This window comes from Homo sapiens, chromosome 13 (genome assembly GCF_000001405.40).
Source record: "Homo sapiens chromosome 13, GRCh38.p14 Primary Assembly".
In the NCBI taxonomy this organism is placed as follows: domain Eukaryota; kingdom Metazoa; phylum Chordata; class Mammalia; order Primates; family Hominidae; genus Homo; species Homo sapiens.
The window spans coordinates 113,323,686-113,344,965 of record NC_000013.11 but is presented as its reverse complement, the minus strand read 5'-3'; the positions used below and the strand labels follow the sequence as shown (position 1 = coordinate 113,344,965).

At 51.7% G+C, this 21,280-nt stretch overlaps 1 protein-coding gene across 4 annotated transcripts in view; it reads left to right on the top strand.

Annotated features, from left to right (window-relative positions):
* The window catches only part of GRTP1 (growth hormone regulated TBC protein 1), a 39,986-nt gene extending 19,183 nt beyond the window's left edge, over positions 1-20,803 (top strand). The window contains exons 5-8 of one of the 4 annotated variants that reach the window (NM_024719.4): positions 7-103; positions 18,875-19,047; positions 19,120-19,305; positions 20,389-20,803. In NM_024719.4, the coding sequence (NP_078995.2) occupies positions 7-103; positions 18,875-19,047; positions 19,120-19,305; positions 20,389-20,478 (546 nt within the window). In that variant the 3' untranslated portion in view covers positions 20,479-20,803. Of the gene's footprint in view, positions 1-6; positions 104-18,874; positions 19,048-19,119 lie in introns of all 4 variants that reach the window. The other 3 variants (NM_001411029.1, NM_001286732.2, NM_001286733.1) reach the window with 3 other exon arrangements.
* The last annotated feature ends 477 nt before the right edge of the window (positions 20,804-21,280 follow it).

Here is a 21,280-nt window from a genome sequence, read left to right as displayed (position 1 = left end):
TTTCAGGGAATGAATTTTATAGCAGGATATCTGATTCTTATAACAAATAATGAAGAAGAATCTTTTTGGCTGTTAGATGCTCTTGTTGGAAGAATACTACCAGGTATGTTGAAAATTCCTGCGGTATGCCCGAACTGTCCTGTTTCTGGTGCTGCCAAAATGATTCCGCTGAGAAATCAAAATTTAATTAAAACATGGTTGAATTGTTTGGGAGATGAGGTTACAAACCGTTTTTTTTTTTTTTTTTTTTTTTGAGACGGAGTCTCGCTCTGATGCCCAGGCTGGAGTGCAGTGGTGTGATCTTGGCTGACTGGAACCTCTGCCTCCCGGGTTCAAGTGATTCTCCTGCCTCAGCCTCCCAAGTAGCTGGGATTGTAGGTGTGTGCCACCACACCCGGCTAATTTTGTATTTTTAGTAGAGATGGAGTTTCACCATGTTGGTCAGGCTGGTCTCAAACTTCTGACCTCAGGTGATCCACCCGCCTTGGCCTCCCAAAGTGCTGGGATTACAGGCATGAGCCACCATGCCTGGCCAAAAATCTTTTTGCAGTAAAAAAATTTCTTTGAAATTGAGTTGAAAAGGAGAAACCCATGTGAGTGGCCAGGGTCCGGCTGCAGCAACTGCTTGCTCCTGGGACGGCAGAGGGCCTTTTGCCGTCTCTTAGCCCTTGTGGGCAGCTGGGGCTGTGTGGTTGGCTCACCCCTTCCTCAGTTGGTAACTTCTGTGCCTATTGAGGGCCACGGTGTGGTTTGTATTGATCACAGAATCTCTGAGAGGCTATCTTGGTTTTATGTATGTATTTGTACTGAGTTTGTGAATACTAGTAAGAGCATAATAATTGCGCTATATATATCCATGGTTGCTTTTTAAGTAATTACTTACTTTTTAAGGTGAAAACCATTCTTTTCAAACCTTTCCACTTTTCTATTTATTAATGTTTAATTATTTAATAATTAAAGTGTATTTATTAGTGGATAAGTTATCCACGGGTTATGGTGAAGGCCAGTGCAGACGATGAGCTGCAGGCTCAAGTCACTTGGGAAGAGAAGCTGAGGATCAGTCGGGTGGGCAGGGCCTGGGGCTGAGACCACTCTGCCCTTCCCCAGCCTGGCTGTGGTGCTGGGTCAAGGGGGCTGCGTGCTCATCCTGCAGGGCAGAGGAGACGTGAGGGGCAGCCGGGCCAGTCCCCAGTGTTTGGAGCCTGGGGGTGTGTGGCTCCAGCTCCTGCCTGGTGAGCACACGGCATGTGTCAGTTTCCTGCTGAGCTGCGCTTGTCCTCAGAACAGCCACACCACACGGACACAGTCACCCACCCCATTTCCAGGGTGAGGACACCGAAGGCCGGGAGAATTTGCGTGCTGGCCTGACCACCGCTGTACATGGCAGAGCCTGGTTCAGATCCTGGCTGTGTGACTCACAGACCATAGTGTGTGTCCTCACGGATGGGGCAAAGCTCAAGTGCATCATTAAGGGCAGGGAGGAATCAGCGCCACCCTCAACCCAAGGGCGCAGAAATGAGGATGCCAGAGACCAGCCTGACGGAGCCGCCCCAGAGGAAGGGAACCCCACAGAGCTCCCGGGAGTGGGAAGAGCTGTTGACCCGGCTGGGGCCCAGGGACCCAGTGCAGCAGCAGCAGCAGCAGGCAGAACCTCGCAGGGCGGAAAGGATGCCGGCTGTCTCAGCTCAGTTCGGTGAACACCTGGACCAGGTGGAATGGTGAAATTAGAGGCAGATGGAGTTAGGAGACATCCAAATGTGGGATTGGTAGGACATGGAAACGGGCTCACAGCCTGCTTCGGTTATGTCTGAGTGCAAATCATGGCGAATCTTCACAGCCGTGGGCCATGCAGTTCTTTTCACCACATATTGTTGAAAACCTATCGTGTTCTGGGCGCCGTTCAGGGGTGTGGGAAACATCGGTGAGCACACACGAGTTCCTGTCTTTGTGGAGGGCAGACCTCAAGCAGCAGCAGGTGAGAGCTCAGGTCGGAGGGCTCAGCACCAACCTAGAGGGCAGGAGCAGGCCCCGCCGTGCTGGTGTGATGGACAGATGCGTTTTCAGTCCGTACGACGTCACTTCCGATATTCATTATGAGATTAAGTTGAACGAAACTGCAATGCAAATAGGTCTGGATTCAAAAAGAAAAGAAAGTACAAAAACTAAACTGTTAGGATCATGGGAGGAAAAGGGGGTTATTCCGATCCCGGCAGAGCTCTCCCAGCGGCAGAGAAAAGAGGCAAATATATGTCCTTCTCTAAGTTACAGTGACCGAAGTAGGTCGTTTCAGTGCCACAGTCATCCTGCTCTAAAATCCATCCTCGAAGTTATAGTTACCCAAACTAGGTCGTTTCAGTGCCACTGTTATCCTGCTCTTAATTGCTGCTTTTAAGTTATACAAGAAATACACAGATATATTCTCATTTCAGAAGTTCAAAAAATACAGTACTTTTTTTTTTTTGAGACTGAGTCTCGCTCTGTCGCCCAGGCTGGAGTGCAGTGGCACAATGGCTCACTGCAAGCTCCGCCTCCCAGGTTCACGCCATTCTCCTGCCTCAGCCTCCCGAGTAGCTGGGACTACAGGCGCCCGCCACTACGCCTGGCCAATTTTTTTTTGTATTTTTAGTAGAGATGGGGTTTCACCGTGTTAGCCAGGATGGTCTCGATCTCCTGACCTCGTGATCCGCCTGCCTCGGCCTCCCAACAGTACTTTTTATAGAATAAAAAGTGACAGCCAGGAGCCGTGGCTCACGCCTGTAATCCTAGCACTTTGCAAGACCGAGGCAGGCATTTAGGGGAGTTCAAGACCAGCCTGGCCAACATGGCAAAACCCCACCTCCACTAAAAATACAAAAATTAGACAGGTGTGGTGGCAGATGCCTGTAATCCCAGCTACTTAGGAGGCTGAGGCACAAGAATCAGCTTGAGGGAGGCTGAGGTTGCAGTGAGCTAGATCACACCACTACACTCCAGTGTGGGAAGACGGAGCGAGACTCCATCTCAAAAAAAAACAGGGCCGGGCAGAGTAGCTCACATATAATCCCAGCATCTGGGAGGCCACAAGGTGAGAGGATCACTTGAGCCCAGAAGTTCGAGACCAGCCTGGGCAATAAAGTGAGACCCCTCCCATCTCTAAAAATAAAAATTTAAACAAAAGTGACGACCCGCCTTCACTGGCACATCCCCATTTATCTCCTACTCAGAGGTAACTGTTATCATCAGTCTGATGTATGTATTTCCAGAGTTTTTATAGACCGATATAAACATACACATGAAGGACTGAAAATTAGCGACAGAAACAGAGAAACAGAAGAAAAGATAAACTCAGACAAAAATCTGGTTCTTTGGGAAAACTGATAAATAGACAAACCTCTGGTAAGACTGATAAGAAAAAAATGTAGCTGGGCACGGTGGCTCACGCCTGTAATCCCAGCACTTTGGGAGGCTGAGGCAAGAGGATCACCTGACGTCAGGAGTTCGAGACCAGCCTGACCAACATGGTGAAACCCCATCTCTACTAAAAATACAAAAATTAGCTGGGCGTGGTGGCGGGTGCCTGTAGTCCCAGCTACTTGGGAGGCTGAAGCAGGAGAATTGCTTGAACCCAGGGGACAGAGGTTGCAGAAAGCCGAGATCACACCACTGCACTCAGGCCTGGGCAACAGGACAAGACCCTGTCTCAAATAAATATATACAAACATACATACATACACACATACATAAAAGCACAGACACTGAAGAGAAATCTTTGTTGAGGTATAATCCACATATCCCACAGTTCCCCCATTTCAAGCGTATGGTGCAGTCGTGATTGGTGCATTCGTGAGTTTAGAACAGGCTGTAGTGAGCCAAGATCACACCACTGCACTCCAGCCTGGGCGACAGAGTGAGACTCTTATCTCAGAAAGAAAAAAAAAAAAGGATAAGATATAGTAGAAATGAAAAGGTGCTGTAATTTGAAGATTTGTAGAGATTTTTAAGAATCAAAAGAAAAAAATGAAGAGACAGAAATGGATAATTCTGAGAAAAAAACAGCCTAACGAAGTTGACTTGAGAGAGAAAATAGAACATCTGATGGGTGTGTGCATGGACACACTGGGTTTTTACTGCTATCAAACTGTGAAGGAACAGGTAACTCCTGCTTTTTAATGTTTTTATTTTATTGTTTTATTTATTTAATTTTTTCAAGACAGAGTCTCACTCTGTCGCCCAGGCTGGAGTGCAGTGGCGCAATCTCGGCTCACTGCAAGCTCCGCCTCCCGGGTTCACGCCATTCTCCTGCCTCAGCCTCCTGAGTAGCTGGGACTACAGGCGCCCGCCACCACGCCCGGCTAATTTTTGTATTTGTAGTAAGGACGGGGTTTCACCATGTTGGCCAGGCTGGTCTCAAACTCCTGACCTCAGGTGATCCGCCCACCTTGGCCTCCCAAAAGTGCTGGGATTACAGGCGTGAACTACAGCGCCTGGCCATTTTATTGTATTTTTTAGAGACAGGGTCTCAGTCTGTCACCCAGGCTGGAGTGCAGTGGTGTGATCATGGCTCACTGCAGCCTCGACCTCCTTAGCTCAAGTGATCCTCCCACCTCAGTCTTCTGAGTAGCTGGGACCACAGGTGGGCACCACCATGCCTAGTTGATTTTTTTTTTTTTATTTGTAGAGACAGGTTCTTGCTATGTTGCCCAGGCTGGCCTTGAACACCTGGCCTCAAGTAGTCCTCCTGCCTTGGCCTCACAAAGGGCTGTGATTAATTCCTGTTTTTTAAAAATAAATCTGTGGCTCATACCTGTAATCGTAGCACTTTGGGTGGTGCATGCCTGCGGTCCCAGCTACCCAGGAGGCTGAGGTGGGAGGATCACTTGAGCTAAGGAGGTCGAGGCTGCAGTGAGCTGTGGTAGTGCCACTGCACTGCAGCCTGGGTGACAGAGCAAGACCCTGTCTAAATAACTGATTAATTAATCAATCTTGCAGAAAATAAAAAAAAGAAACTCTCATCACTTCATGTTATGAAGCTAGTATAGCCTTCACACCATACAGACTAATCTCACTGATGAATAGAAGTATGTAATTGTTAATTATTAATGTTAGCAACTTGAATCTACAGGTGACTATGAAGTATTTTTTTAGTTTGAAGATAGTTTTTTCCAGAAATCCAAGGATGGCTTAATCATATGGAATAATCAAGGGCAAAGCCAAGCCAAGAAGGCTTGAAAGAAGAACACTAGAGATATATTATAATGCTCTAATAATTAAAATGGTGTGGTATTAGGTTATGAATGGATAAACAGACCAATGGAACAAAATTGCGAAGCCAGATAGAAATCAACCAGTCTGTGGATCTATTAATTTATGGGAATGTCTTTTGTGAGATATATCAATTAATGGGAAAAAGACTGTTTAAAACATAATTCAGTGACAGTTGACTGTATGGAAGAAAACAAAATTAAACCCTTATTTCATTTCCAGATGGATTTAAGACTCATGTAAAAAAGTAAAACTTTGAAACTCAGAGAACAAAATACAGAACAGTCGTGTCATGTGGGAGTAGGGGAGAAGTTCTTGAACATAATTCAAAAAGTATAAAAGGCATTGATAATTTTAATTACATGAAAATTTAAAAACTAATTTTGGTAAGAGACATCATAAGCAAAGTAAAAAGATAAGCTGCTGGTTTGAGAAAGTATCTTTGATCCATATAATTAACAAAGGGTTAGTGTCTGGACTGTGTGTGAATTTCTAAAAATCTAAGCAGAAAGCCAGGGTGTGGTGGCTCATGCCTGTAGTCCCAGCACTTTGGGAGGCTGAGGTGGGTGGATCACCTAAGGTCAGGAGTTCGAGACCAGCCTGGTCAACATGGTAAAACTCTGTCTCTACTAAAAATACAAAAATTAGCTGGGCATGGTGCAGTGCACCTGTAATCCCAGCTACTTGGGAGGCTGAGGCAGGAGAATCACTTAAACCTGGGAGGCAGAGGTTGCAGTGAGCCGAGACTGCACCATTGCACTCCAGCTTGGGCAACAAGAGTGAAGCTCCGTCTCAAAAAAAAAAAAAAAAAAAAAATCTAAGCAGAAAAAGAAACAGCTCAGCAGAACATCAGGTGAAGAATGTGCCTGACAGGCAATTTACAAAATAGAGACCGGAATGGCCAGCAGACCTGTGAACCCATGGCTGAGCTCCCTGGTGAGCATGAAGGTGGAAATGGAAAGACTGGGGTTGGAGTGGAGCCTTCTGCAGCCACCGAGGCCTCCAGGCCCGTGACACAAAACGAAAGCTCCCTGCCGTGGGGCAGTGACCACGGGGTGCGAGTCCGTCTGGGTATTGAAAATGTCATGCACATTGTCGTCTTTTTCCTTGGAGGAGGCCGAGACTGGTGGGGATTAAGTAGCTCATACACAGTCCGCCAGCAAGGCTGAGATCCCATCCCCGGGCTGAGATCCCATCTCAGGCCTCCCCGCCCAAGGCCTGCACCCCACATCTGCCTCCCCGGTTTCCCCCACCACTGTTGTTGCGGACTGTTTGGTTCATCGCTCATGAGTCACTTAGAGGGGGTCCAATTAAGGGAGTTACTTTTACCAGCAAATGCCTCTAATCCCAATTCAGTTAGGAAGTGACCTGAGGACACGCTCCCCGTGGCCTGTGACCATCCACACGCAGATGCCCCACACCCCGAGTTCTCAGCCCAGAACACCTGCCACACCCGCGGCCTCTTGTAGAGCCCATGAAGATGATGGCCATCAATCACCATCCCAACAAGGCATGGAAAGGACGCAGGAAGAAGGTGCAGACGCCGCTCCCCGGGCGGGCGATGGGTCCCGGGCCTCCTCAGAGGAGGAGGTTGACCGGGCCCTGCCGCGTGACTGAGGGTGGAGGGGGCCCTGTCTCGGAAGACTGCGTCAGTCATGAGTCGGTGCAGCCCTGAATTAGCGCTCTACATCCTGAAAGATGGGTTTGACCTGGTTTCCTCTGAAAAATAGGGAAGCAGGTCAGGTTTTAACAACTCGACATAGAAATACCTCAGCTCTGGCTGGGAGGACTGGCTGAGATGTGGACCGACAAGGCACATTCTGTGGGGACCACGGCTCAGCCCCGTGAGCAGAGGTGGGTGGAGGGAGGCTCTTGGCGCCGCAATTGCCACATCGGAGGTGCGTTTCCTGCGTCCTCCCGAGTGGGGTTCCCTGAGGTCACCTGTCCTGAGGGTGGTGCTCATGTGGCCTGGGCCACGCCCCCGTTGGGCTGGCTTTGTCACAGGAGGCTGGTCTCTGGGGTCAGGAACAGCTGTTTTGGGATCAGATTGCGCTGAGTCACCAGGCGGCCAGGCTCACCAGACCTGTGGGCCTCAGGCCTTGCACCTTAAGTGTGAGCTTATTCCGTGAGAGGGTTGCGCAGAAAGCACGCTGTACAATCCGAGGCCTCTTGATACCAGGTTTCGCCATAAGCTACTTTTTTTTAAAAGAACTCTATATATTAGGGAAAAAAGTCATTGCCGCTTTTCCATTCAGGGTCTCCTAGTTATAGCAGATAAAGTTTAATTGAGTTGTATGCTAACAAATTGCTGAATTCAAGACAGTTGATCTAATTTAGTGGGATCTTGAAATTTAAGTAATTGCTCAGTTTTCTACCAAGTATTTAGCCGGAGATCTTAGCTACTTCTAAAGTTTATTTATTTATTATTTATTGGATACAGGATCTCACTGTTGCCAGGCTGGAGTACAGTGGCACCATCACAGCTCACTGCAGCCTTTGACCTCCTGGGTTCAAGTGATCCTCCCACCTCAGCCTCCCAACTAGCAGGGACTGCAGGTGTGCACCACCATGCCCGGCTAATTTTTTTATTTTGAGTACAGACAGGGTCTTCTTGAATTGCCCAGGCTGGTCTCGAACTCTTGGGCTCAAATGATCCTCCCACCTCAGCCTTCCAAAGTGCCGGGATTACAGGCTTGAGCCACCACGCCTGGCCTCAGTTTGTTTAGTTGACATGTAACAGGTCTGTTAGCTTTTTACTTGTGAAATGTAACAGCATAAGCACATCAGAAACATTATTTCCTGGTAGCTTCTCTGCACCTTTTCTGGAATCTGGAAATTTGTACAGGGCACTTGGGAAGTGCGGTGGGTTTTCCCAGAGCCCTCTCACCCTCACGCATCTGCTGTCTGGAGGGATGGTTGGTACAGTTCTAGGGCTGAGCGCCAGGCGGGCACTTGGCCTGTGTGCGTCCGCTGTCTGGAGGGATGGTTGGTACCGTTCTAGGGCAGTTCATGTGTCCGCTGTCCTCAGGGCTTCAGGACATCAGGTGGGGTCTCGTGTTCCCAGTGCAGAGGTAGGGCCCAGGGCAAGGGGCTGGTGTCCTGCACAGCTAGTGTAGGTGTAGGCAGGGCCACCCCAGCGGGTGGCTCTGAAGCCAGCCCCCCTCACCTCGCCCCCAACCACGGCCAGAGCCCCCCTGTTCTTCAGTCTCCCAGCGATGGTGTCTGCAGGCAGCAGTGGAGAATCCTGGCCTGGTGCTGAGTCCAAGTTGGCCTTTCCTAGTGCTCGGCACACCGAGGGCACTTTGCTTTCAGAGGAGGACTTGGGACTGAATCTTACACCTAGAGGGTGAGGAACCCTTTGCATGTTTGTTTGTTTTTTAATTAAATTTTACAGTACCTATTTTGCCTTAAAAAAAAAAAAAAAAACTACCTTATTCCCACTGCTGGGTGTGTTTCCAGAAGAAAGGAAGTTACTCTGTTGAAGGGCATCTGTCCTCCAGCGTTCGCCACGGCACTGCTCCCAGCAGCCAGGATAGAATCAACCCAGGTGTCTGACCGCAGATGGATGGATAAGGAAAGTGGGGTGCACACACTCAGCAGAGTGCTGTTCAGCCTTAGAAAGAATGAGATCCTGGCCAGGCGTGGTGGCTGTCGCCTGTAATCCCAGCACTTTGTGAGGCCGAGGCGGGTGGATCACCTGAGGTCAGGAGTTTCAGACCAGCCTGGTCAACACGGTGAAACCCTTTCTCTACTAAAATACAAAAAGTAGCCAGGCGTGGTGGCGGGCATCTATAATTCCAGCTACTCAGGAGGCTGAGGCAGGAGAATCGCTTGAACCTAGGAGGTTGAGGCTGCAGTGAGCTGAGTTTGTACCACTACGCTCCAGCCTGGGCGACAACAGCAAGACTCCATCTCAAAAAGAAAAAAAAAAAATCCCGTCATTTCAGCAGCATGGAGGGAACCAGAGGACACTGTGTTAAGTGAAATAAGCCGGGTGCAGAGACAGATATCACATGTTCCCACCCACATGTGGGCGCTAAATAAAAATGAAACTCATGGAGGCAGAGAGTAGAAGGGCAGTTACCAGAGGCCAGGAAGGGAGGGGGATAGAGAGGCTCGTTAATGGTTACAGACCTACAGTTAGAAGAAGTGAGACCGTGTGTTAGTAGGTCAGACCCACTATAGGTAACAGTAACATGTATTTCAAAATAGCTAGAAGAGAAGATTTGGAATGTTCCCAACACAAAGAAATGGTAAATGTGGGTGGATCCGTTACCCAGGTTTTTGTTTTTTGTTTTTTGTGAGACAGAGTCCCGCTCTGTCTCTCAGGCTGGAGTGCAATGGCATGATCTCGGCTCACTGCAACCTCCGCCTCCTGGGTTCAAGCGATTCTCCTGCCTCAGCCTCCCAAGTAGCTGGGATTACAGGCACACACCACCACGGCCAGCCTCCAGTGACCCAGGTCTGATCATGACACATTGAATGCCTGTATCAAAATATCACATGGACACCATTAATATGTACACCTATTAGGTATCCATAAATATTAAAAATAAACCTTTTTAGCATTATAAAACTGACAGGTTTAAGAATTAGACAAACTTGGCCAGGCATGGTGCTCATGCCTGTAATCCCAGCACTCTGGGAGGCTGAGGCAGGCGGATCGCGAGGTCAGGAGATCGAGACCATCCTGGCTAACACAGTGAAACCCCGTGTCTACTAAAAATACAAAAAATTAGCCGGGCGTGGTGGCGGGCACCTGTAGTCCCAGCTACTCGGGAGGCTGAGGCAGAAGAATGGCGTGAACCCGGGAGGCGGAGCTTGCAGTGAGCCGAGATCGCGCCACTGCACTCCATCCAGCCTGGGCGACAGAGCAAGTGTCCATCTCAAAAGAAAAGAATTAGCCAAGCCAAACTTACAGAAGTTAAAGAGGAAAAGGCCATCAGTCCTCCACTGCCGGGCTGTGGTGCTCATGTTTGCGGCTGTCTGATGAGCCCACTGTTGCTGCTCACGGCTCTCCCTGGTGAACCCGAGGCCAGAGGGGCCCTCCCTGCTCTGCCCACCCCAGTTAGAAAGTCTTTCCTTTGCCTGAAGGATTACGTGCTTTTTTTTTCTGTTTAAAGATTTGTTCTGTCTAGCAAATTGAGGATTTCCACCAGTTTCTCATTCTAACCCTAGGACAACTTTATTGCTTATTTATAATCTCAAATTGAGAATCCGCAAGAGTGGTTCAGTGCAGGATGAAACTGTTTCCGCGCACGACTGATTTATCACTCTGAACTAAGTTAATACCTAGGTAAGCATTTGCGGTTCTTATTTTCTGTTTTTCTCGATTCCTTTATCTTTGCAGCTGACTTAAATTTTATTAACTAGTCAGCTTCTAGGTGCAAAAGTCACAGGCCAGCGGGAGGCTGTCGTAGCAGTGCAGGGTGGGCGGGAGGCTGTCGTGGCAGTGCAGGGTGGGGACGAAGGGGAAGCAGGTCCCTCCCTCTCGGTCCTCCGGACCCTACAGAGAGTTTCTCATGTTATCTGTCTCAAGATGTCCCCTGTGTTTGAGAAAACTTTACATGTTTCTAAATGCACAGGCATGGGCCAGGCGCGGCGGCTCACCCCTGTAATCCCAGCACTTTGGGAGGCTGAGGTGGGCAGATCACCTGGGGTCAGGAGTTCGGGACCAGCTTGGCCAGTATGGCGAAACCTCATCCCTACTAAAAATACAAAAATTAGCCAGGCATGGTGGCGCACACCTATAATCCCAGCTACTCAGGAGGCTGAGGCAGGAGAGTTGCTTGAACCTGGAAGGTGGAGGCTGCAGTGAACCAAGATCGCGCTACTGCACTCCAGCCTCGGACACACACACACACACACACACACACACACACACACTAAATAAATAAATAAATAAATAAATAAATAAATAAAGTACAGGCACTGAGATGGGCGTGGTGGCTCTCGCCTGTAATCCCAGCATTTTGGGAGTCCTAGGCAGGCAGATTGCTCAAGAGCAGCCTGGACAACATGGCAAAACCCCATCTCTACTAAAAATACAAAAATTAGCTGGGCGTGGTGGTGCACACCTGTAATCCCAGCTGCTCGGGAGGCTGAGGCACGAGAATTGTCTGAGCCTGGGAGGTGGAGGTTGCAGTGAGCCGAGATCACGCCACTGCTCTCCAGCCTGGGTGACAGAGCAAGACCCTATCTCAAAAAAATAAATAAATAAAATAAAACAATAAAAGCACAGGCACTGAAGAGAAATCTTTGTTGAGGTGAAATCCACTTATCCCACAGTCCCTCCATTTCAAGCGTACGGTGCAGTGGTGATGGGTGCATTCGTGAGTTTGGCAAAGGTTGTGACTGGATCCCATCTTCCTGACTGTGACCACACTGCTCTGTGCTGTTTTCTGTGGTTCGCCATGTGCATGGGCACCTGGGCTGTGTGTCTTAGCATTGCCCCGGGTTACACGTGAGGAACCCTTGGGCCCCTTCGGTCTGTGCGTGGGAATCTGCACCTCTTTCTCTTCCTGTCCAAGCACTTGGGTAAGCCAACCCTCCGAGCTCGGCGCCTCAGGCTTTCCTGATGAGGATACCCCAGCGCCCTCCGGCTGGGCCCCTCTCCTCGAAATTTCCTGCAGACTGGTGGCTGAATCAAGACCTGATGTCATGAGTCCATTAGAAGAGGCGGGATAAATGCTGGTCCCTTGGCTTTATGTCCCCGCCCTCAAAATAATAAATTGGCGTCTGGTCACTAGAAGGCGGTTGGTCAGTGCTGTGTGTCCATGTCAACTGTGGACTCCTGGGCTGCACACACTGGAGGGTTTTTATCCTTCTTGAAGCTCAGGTTGGCCCATCTGTGGCCAGCGGGAGCCTCTTCTGGTTGGCCCCTGAGTCCTGTGGATGTGAATGTGGCGCCGACGGCTTCCTCGAGTCTGCAGGACAGGCTACTCTGGGCTCACCCCATGGGCCTTCTGCCCCAGACCTGGACCCGCCTGTTTCTCCAGGAAACTCTGGCGTAATGTGTGTCACTGGGCCTTTGTCAGTGTGGCTCCTGAAGCTTGTTCTTGGGTGGATTCCTCGGGATGTGTTTGTGGGAACTGTCCTTACGGAGTGCTTGAAGACCGTCGGGTGGGATCTGGGAACTGGGAGGTGGTGTCGGTGTTGACTAGTGTCGAGGTGGCCATACTGTTGTTTGGGGAAGCACGCCCTGGAGTATTTGGTGCGATGGGGCAGTGAGTGTGCAGCTCTGCCTCACACAGTCCAGGGGATGGAGGCAGGTGTGCGTGTGCACGTGTGTGCCTGTGTGGTGTGCGTGTGCACGTGTGTACCTGTGTGTGGCGTGCGTGTGCGTGTGTGGTGTGCGTGTGCACGTGTGTACCTGTGTGTGGCGTGCGTGTGCACGTGTGTACCTGTGTGTGGCGTGCGTGTGCACGTGTGGTGTGTGTGTGCACGTGTGTACCTGTGTGTGGTGTGCGTGTGCACGTGTGTACCTGTGTGTGGTGTGCGTGCAGATAGGGAGGTGACGGGGGAGCAAATGTGCTGAAATGTTCACAGTCAGGGAATCTGATGGGGATGTGGGGGTTCTTTGTGCAGTTCTTATTGTTGCTATTTCATGGCTAGGTTTTTTAAAATTTATTTTTTATTTTGTTGCCCAGGCTGGTCTGGAACTCCTGGGCTCAAGCAATCCTCCCACCTCGGCCTCCCAGAGTGCTGGGATTACAGGCATAAGACATGGCACCCGGCCCAAAATACCTTTTTTTAAATGTAAACAAAAGGCTAGGCATGGTGGGTCACGCCTGTAATCTCAGCACTTTGGGAGGCCGAGGTGGGTGGATCGCCTGAGGTCAGGAATTCGAGACCAGCCTGGCCAACATGATGAAACCCCGTCTCTACTAAAAATACAAAAAATTAGCCGGGCCTGGTGTCGGATGCCTGTGATCCCAGCTACTCAGGAGGCTGAGGCAGGAGAATCGCTTTAACCTGGGAGGCGGAGGTTGCAGTGAGCCGAGATTATACCACTGCACTCCAGCCTGGGTGACAGAGTGAGACTCTGTCTAAAAAAAAAAAAAAAAAAAAAAAAAAGTAAACCAAACAGCAAAACCAGCCTTGCAGCTTCCTTGCTGTAACCTGAGCTGCGTCTGAGAAGGCTCACGCCCTGTAAGGGCTGTGCCACGCCGAAGTCTTCTCAGGAAAAGAGATGCAGAGAGGCTGGCTCGGGCAGTGGGGGTGCGCAGCTGCTGGGTGGGCACCCGGGTGGCTCCTGCACTGGCTGTCCTTGCTGTGCCTTCTTGGCATCTCCTCCTGGGCCGCCTCCCATGCTGCAGCCCGTGCCTCCTGGTATCCCAGCCCCGCAGCTGTGGTCACTCACAGAGGCAAGGCCATCCTGGTAGCAGCCGCCCCTGAGCCCCCAACCCCCAGGTCATGCACCTGGTCTCTGCCATGGTCAATCCTGTGGCTCAGATGAGGAGCAAAGACCATGTCTGTTGGGAAGAGGTGGATTCCTCCTATCTGGATGGAAGCCGGGGCTGGGCAGGTGCTTCTTCACAGGAGAGCTGCGACCGGTTTCCATGCACACACCCGGGTTCCCATGCACACACCTAGGCTTTCGTGCACACACCCGGGCTCCCATGCACACACCTGGGCTCCCGTGCACACACCTGGGTTTCCATCCACGCACCTGGGCTCCCATGCACACACCTGTGCTCCAATGCACACACCTGGCTTTCCATGCACACGCCTGGGCTCCCATGCACACACTGGGCTCCCATGCACACACCTGGTTTTCCATGCACACACCTGGGCTCCCATGCACACACCCGGGCTCCCATGCACACACCCGGGTTTCCATGCACACACCTGGGCTTCCATGCACACACCTGGGTTTCCTTCCACACACCTGGGCTCCCATGCACACACCTGGGTTTCCATCCACGCACCTGGGCTCCATGCACGCACCTGAGTTTCCACGCACACACCTGGGCTCCCATGCACACACCTGGGTTTCCATGCACACACCCGGGTTTCCATGCACACACCTGGGCTCCCATGCACACACCTGGGTTTCCATGCACACACCTGGGCTCCCATGCACACACCTGGGCTCCCATGCACACACCTGGGCTCCCATGCACACACCTGGGTTTCCATGCACACACCTGGGCTCCCATGCACACACCTGGGCTCCCATGCACACACCTGGGTTTCCATGCACACACCTGGGCTCCCATGCACACACCTGGGCTCCCATGCACACACCTGGGTTTTTATGCACACACCCGGGCTCCCATGCACACACCCGGGCTCCCATGCACACACCCGGGTTTCCATGCACACACCTGGGCTTCCATGCACACACCTGGGTTTCCTTCCACACACCTGGGCTCCCATGCACACACCTGGGTTTCCATCCACGCACCTGGGCTCCATGCACGCACCTGAGTTTCCACGCACACACCTGGGCTCCCATGCACACACCTGGGTTTCCATGCACACACCCGGGTTTCCATCCACGCACCTGGGCTCCCATGCACACATCTGGGTTTCCATCCACGCACCTGGGCTCCCATGCACGCACCTGAGTTTCCATGCACACTCCTGGGTTTCCATGCACACACCCGGGTTTCCATGCACACACCCGGGTTTCCATGCACGCACCCGGGTTTCCATGCACGCACCCGGGTTTCCATGCAGGCACCTGGGTTTCCATGTACGCACCTGGGCTCCCATGCACGCACCCGGGCTCCCATGCACACACCTGGTTTTCCATGCACACTTGCATCAGCTACATCCCCTGCCCACCTGGGCGCCCAGCTCCCTCCTTGGCATTGACGCCATTATCTCATTCACGTAACCATTTTCTGATTATCTTTTATGAGTCACTTCCATTGTGTTAATACTGAAGAAGAGGGAGAAGTCTAGATAAAGATCGGAACCGCCCACTACCCCTATCAGTGGGGGTGAGCCCCACAAATGGTATTTTTGGTGCAAGCCTGGGTCGTCTTTTCTATGCACATGGGGCAGCTATTTTAGAAACACTTGGAGTGCTTTGTATGTAGTCCCGCATCCCATCTTTTTCATTTGACATCACGTGGTGGGAATTTCCACACATCTTGCAGTAATTTATTTTTATTTTTATTTTTTATTTTTTGAGATGGAGTTTCACTCTGTTGCCCAGGCTGGAGTGCAGTGGCACGATCTCGGCTCACTGCAACCTTCATCTCCCGGGTCAAGCAATTCTCCTGCTCAGCCTCCTGAGTAGCTGAGTAGCTGGGATTACAGGTGCTGGCCACCACGCCCAGCTAATTTTTGTATTTTTAGTAGAGATGGGTTTTCACCATGTTGGCCCGGCTAGTCTCAAACTTCTGACCTCAGGTGATCTACCCGTCTCAGCCTCCCAAAGTGCTGCGATTACAGGTGTGAGCCACTGCACCCGGCCAATGCGGTAATTTTTAAGCTCTCTCCCAATGTCTCCGTGGCACTGCAGAGTGTGTTATGCGTGGATTATACCTTCCTTAACTGTCGGTGGCCAGGGAGGAAGAAAGGTCTTCCCCTGTACACCTTAGGTCCCCCAGCTGGGCTCTGTACATGGGACTGGCCGAAGACTGAATAATGAGTGAGAAAAAGACGCTTATCAACACGTGTCACGCACACCCTGGAGAGCACCCGGATCGGGGGACATAAAGCGTGGCTGGCGCCTGGGCGCATTCACCATCCTGGGCAGCCTGCTACCTTCAGGCTTCTGGGCAGGGAAGGGAACCAGGAGAATTTAGTCCACAGGCTGCTTTGTAAGGTTTGAGATGCATCAGGCTTCTGGGCGGGGAAGGGAATCAGGAAAATTTAGTCCACAAGGCTGCTTTGTAAGGTTTGAGATGTGGATTTCAGGGGTGTCTTTCCTGGTAGGGAAAGGGAGAGGGAGACGCCCCTGGGAATGGAAACTCCTTTCACAGAAGGCTGCACAGACCATTTAATGTTTTGGCTGCCCAGGAATTCTAGACCAGCCTGGGCAACATGGTAAAACCTTCTCTCTACAAAAAATATTTAAAAATTAGCTGGGTGTGGTGGTGCACACCTGTGGTCCCAGCTACGCAGGAGGCTGAGGCAGGGGGATCACTTGAGCCCAGGAGGTTGAGGCTGCAGTGAGCTGTGATAGCACCACTGCACTCCAGCTTGGGCGACAGAGTGAGACCCTGTCTCAAAAAATTGTTTGAGTCTTCAACTCACACCTTTTGTTTTCTAATTGAAAGCACCAGGGTGGAGAACTGGCCTGTGAGTGCATGTGAGAGAGTGGTCTTGGGACTCACACCTGCTCTCAGAGGAAGATCTGCAGAGTGGAAATGAAGTAGGAGGAAGCCACAGCCATGTGCAGACGCCTGTGGCCACCGTCTTTGTATGGCCCCTGCCCACGTCTGACCGCAGACCCTGAGGGGTGTGCAGGGGAGTGTCAGAGCTGTGCCCCCGTCCTGGCCAGGCAGGTGCCGTCCCGGAGCCTCGGTGATGAATGCACAGTGTTGGGTGGTTTGCAGAGGCGTGGATGTCCCCAGAAGGACAGGGACAAGGAGCCTGGGGGGATAGCGGCGCGAGACCAGATGAGGTGGTCACCTGGGAACATCAGTGCCTGCGCCTCAGCCTGAGGGATGAGCCCCTTCTGCAGGGAGCAGCCGCTGCGCCGGCTGGGCCTGGGAGGAACCACCTTGCCCTCGATGTTCAAGGAAGGGAAAGAAGCTGCGGCTTTAATTTAATCCTCCCCTTGGTGGCCGGCTCAGCCTGGTGGAGTTTAGGGAATGAGTTCAGCGCCTCTATTTTTGGAAGCTGTTCTAAGCTTCTCTGTGTCTGGGGCCAAGGTCAGGCTGTGTGTCTCTGCAGACCCCCTGCTGCCTGGCACTCAAGCCCCCCTGCCACACCACCTGTGGGGTTGGGGGCCACCTGCAGAACCAGGGTGGGCACTGATTGATGGTTCTTCACCCCTCTCTCCCCAGCTGGAACGGTATGTGCTCAGCTAAGAAGGTGAAAGATGAGCAAAGCGCTCAGAACCCCAGTGGCAGGTGCAGAACAAGGATATGGAAGGGAGGCGTTTTTAATCCTTGGCGCTTGCTCACTGAATTGGCTCTGGCTAAATCACCTTCAGAGGCGTTAGTATTTACTATTAAACCGACTTCACTGTGTGCTCACTCTGAAAAGCAGTGACAGGACCGTGATGTTGCGTCAGTGTTTGTGATGGTTCTATTTTAACCAAGATATTGAATTAACAAGAACAGACTGGGCGCAGTGGCTCACGCCTGTAATCCCAGCACTTTTGGAGGCCGAGGCGGGCAGATCATGAGGTCAGGAGTTCGAGACCAGCCTGGCAAATATGGTGAAACTTTGTCTCTACTGAAAATACAAAAATTAGCTTGGGCGTGGTGGTGAGCACCTGTAGTCCCAGCTACTCAGGAGGCTAAGGCAGGAGAATTGCTTGAACCCAGGAGGCAGAGAGGTTCCAGTGAGCTAAGATCATGCCACTACATTCCAGCCTCGGTGACAGAGCGAGACTCCGTCTCAAAAAAAAATGTACTATAACTCATTACATGAACAAGTTAAAAAATTACGTAGGTAAACACAAAAGTGCTTTGGTAAGACAAATGTCCATTCAAAAGAAGGGCAAGCTGTTGGAAGTATTTATCTGAGTACGTTTTATTTCTACTGTGGTAAAATACACAGAACATAGAATGTACCATCTTACCCATGTCTTTCCCCTGTGCAGTTCAGTGGCACAAGGGCCGCTTACCTCTCTGTGTAACCATTGCCGCCGCCCTCTCCAGAGCTGTTTCATCTTCCCAGACTGAACTCGGTCCTGTCACTCCCTCCCTCCCGCTGCTGTGGCCTGACTTCCTCCCTTTCTAAGGCTGAATAATATTCCGTCGTGTGGACATTCACATGTTGGTTATCCACTTGTCTGCCGACGGACACGTGGGTTGCCTCCATCTCTTGGCTGTTGTAAATAGTTCTGCTAGGAACACGGGGGTGCCTGCACCTCCTTGGGACTCTCTTTTCCACCTGCAGATTTTTGTTTGTTTGTTTTTTTGAGACAGAGTCTCGCTCTGTGGCCCAGACTGGAGTGCAGTGGTGTGATCTCGGCCCACTGCAACCTCCACCTCCCAGGTTCAAGCGATTCTCCTGCCTCAGCCTCCTGAATAGCTGGGGTTACAGGTGCCCACCACCACACCTGGCTAATTTTTGTATTTTTAGTAGAGACGGGGTTTCAGCCATGTCAGCCAGGCTGGTCTTGAACTCCTGACTTTAGGTGATCCACCCGCCTCGGCCTCCCAAAGTGCTGGGATTACAGGTGTGAGCCACGCTCCCGCCCCCCCCCCCCCCACCGCGCCACCCTCCACCTGCAGATTTTAACTGATGCCCAGCCAGGCGGCATCCAGCCTATCCCTCCAGCCTCAGGGACGTCCTGAAAGGCCTGGCTGTGGGGGTCGCTCCCCATGAGCCCTGTGTCTGCAGGCCTCACCCCGACTCTTCCTCTCCAACTTTGTCCCTCCCTCTTGGGAGGGGTCCTCCCAGGGTGGCCCTGTTGTCTTTGTCTGGCTCTGAGGGGAATGGGGCTTGTGGAGGTGACGGGAGTGTCTCGGGGTCTTTTCTCCACATTGCCTGGCAGATTACTACAGCCCGGCCATGCTGGGCCTGAAGACCGACCAGGAGGTCCTCGGGGAGCTGGTGCGGGCGAAGCTGCCGGCTGTGGGGGCCCTGATGGAGCGTCTCGGTGTGCTGTGGACGCTGCTGGTGTCCCGCTGGTTCATCTGCCTGTTTGTGGACATCTTGCCCGTGGAGGTGAGCGCCTCACTCGGGCCCTGGGGCGGGCGGGCCGCCAGGGAGTGACACCGGGTTCCCATGTCTCTGCAGACAGTGCTTCGGATCTGGGACTGTTTGTTTAACGAAGGCTCGAAGATTATCTTCCGGGTGGCCCTGACCTTAATTAAGCAGCACCAGGAGTTGATTTTGGAAGCCACCAGCGTTCCAGACATTTGCGATAAGTTTAAGCAGATAACCAAAGGGAGTTTCGTGATGGAGTGTCACACGTTTATGCAGGTGTGTGGGGCTGCACGTGGCTCAGTCCCCTCCCAGGGGGCCCCGCCTCACCTGCAGCCCGGGGGCTGCTCTGACCACCCGGAGGGTGCACAGGACGGGCACCAGTGGGCATAGGGCACAGGATGAGCCTCCAGCTCTGTCCTGCATCTGCCCCCTGCGCCTGGCCTCCGAGGGCTTTCCTGTCTATGGCGGCCCTGTCTTCTTGGCCCTGGCACTGCGGACGCTGCTCCTGGTCCTAATGGCTGTACTCATCTGCTGTGTGTGGTGCCAGAAGTGTGGCTTCCCGAGGCCCGGCCTCCCCACTGGGTCCTGGACCTGGCGCAGGCCGTATAGACTCAGGTCCTGATGAGGGCGTTGTGGGAGCTGTACCTGACAGGCCTTCTGAGGAAGCCAAGACGCCAGGAGAGGCTCAGGCCTGGGAGTCAGTAGTTTCCTAAGAGGGAGTGGAGGCTCGGGGCCACTCTGGGTGCAGCATGGCAAACGTGGGCGGTATTTCAGCAGCTGGGCCTTCATCAAAGAGAAGACCATGTTGGCCGGGCGCGGTGGCTCACGCCTGCAGTCCCAGCACTTTGGGAGGCCAAGGCGTGTGGATCACCTGAGGTCAGGAGTTCAAGACCAGCCTGGCCAACACGGTGAAACCCCGTCTCTACTAAAAAATACAAAAATTAGCCAGGTGTGGTGGCTCACGCTTATGTAGTCCCAGTTACTCGGGAGGCTGAGGCACGAGAATCACTTGAACCTGGGAGGCGGAGGTTGCAGTGAGCCGAGATCGCGCCACTGCACTCCAGCCTGGGCAACAGAGTGAGACTCTGTCTCAAAAAAAAAAAAAAAGTCTAATGGAAGCAGATGGCCTTTTCTTCCACCGTTTGATTCATTTAACATTTCTGAGCAGCAAAGCTGCAGTCCTAGGCCCCAGGGCAGGAGTGAGATGGTGACAATCTGTGGGTCACCCCAGAAGCCCTTGGATGTGGACTGCTCCTCCCTCACCTCACACGAGGCCTGTCTGCCTGCCTGCCAGTCTGGGAGAGCTAACGTAGAAATGGGTTGTTGGGTTTGTTTTTAAACTAACTGTTTGCCTTCCAGAAAATATTTTCAGAACCTGGAAGCTTATCCATGGCCACCGTCGCCAAGCTCCGCGAGAGCTGCAGGGCCCGGCTGCTGGCACAGGGGTGAGCGTGCCTGTCCCCTGCGTTGCTCGTCTCTACACTGACGATGCCCCTTTCCAGAGTTGACACTGGACCAACTTTCACTGCTTTCCTTTTTAGTGTTGTAAATACTTGACATCACTACACTTTAGTTGTGAATTTTTTAAAAGAGCAGTTTAAAATCAGGTCATTCTACCAGCTTTTGATGATTAGCTATGAAGTCATACTTTTTAAAGAAAACTTATTTTTACCTGAGAGATCAATAATATATAAAATGTGAGTGTGGGTTTGTATCTAATAAAGTATGCCAACACCTGTGTTTGTGATCAGTTTCTCAGCTGACTGGAAATTAACATAGTGAGTGGTCACTGAGGTCTTACAGCGGCAGTGTCAATATTCCATTCCTTTCTGTGACAGAGCGTGCAGTTTATGTGAGGCTTCTGCACGTAGTAGGTGATTTCTCTTTAGAAAGATCATTTTCTCCCTTCAACTTTTAACTTCTGGGTACAGGTGGAGGGTGTACAGGTCTGTTGCACAGGTAAACGTGTGCCGTGGTGATGTGCTGCACAGACCATCCTGTCACCTAGGTATGAAGCCAGCATCCCTTAGCTATTCTTCCTGATGCTCTCCCTGCCCCCGACCCAACGGGCCCCAGTGTGTGATGTTCCCCTCCTTGTGTCCATGTGTTCTCATCAGAAGCTCCCACTTACAAGTGAGAACAAGTGGTGTCTGGTTTTCTGCTCCTGTGTTAGTTTGCTGAGAATAATGGCTTCCAGCTCTATCCGTGTCCCTGCAGGGGACAAGATCTCATACCTCTTTATGGCTGCATA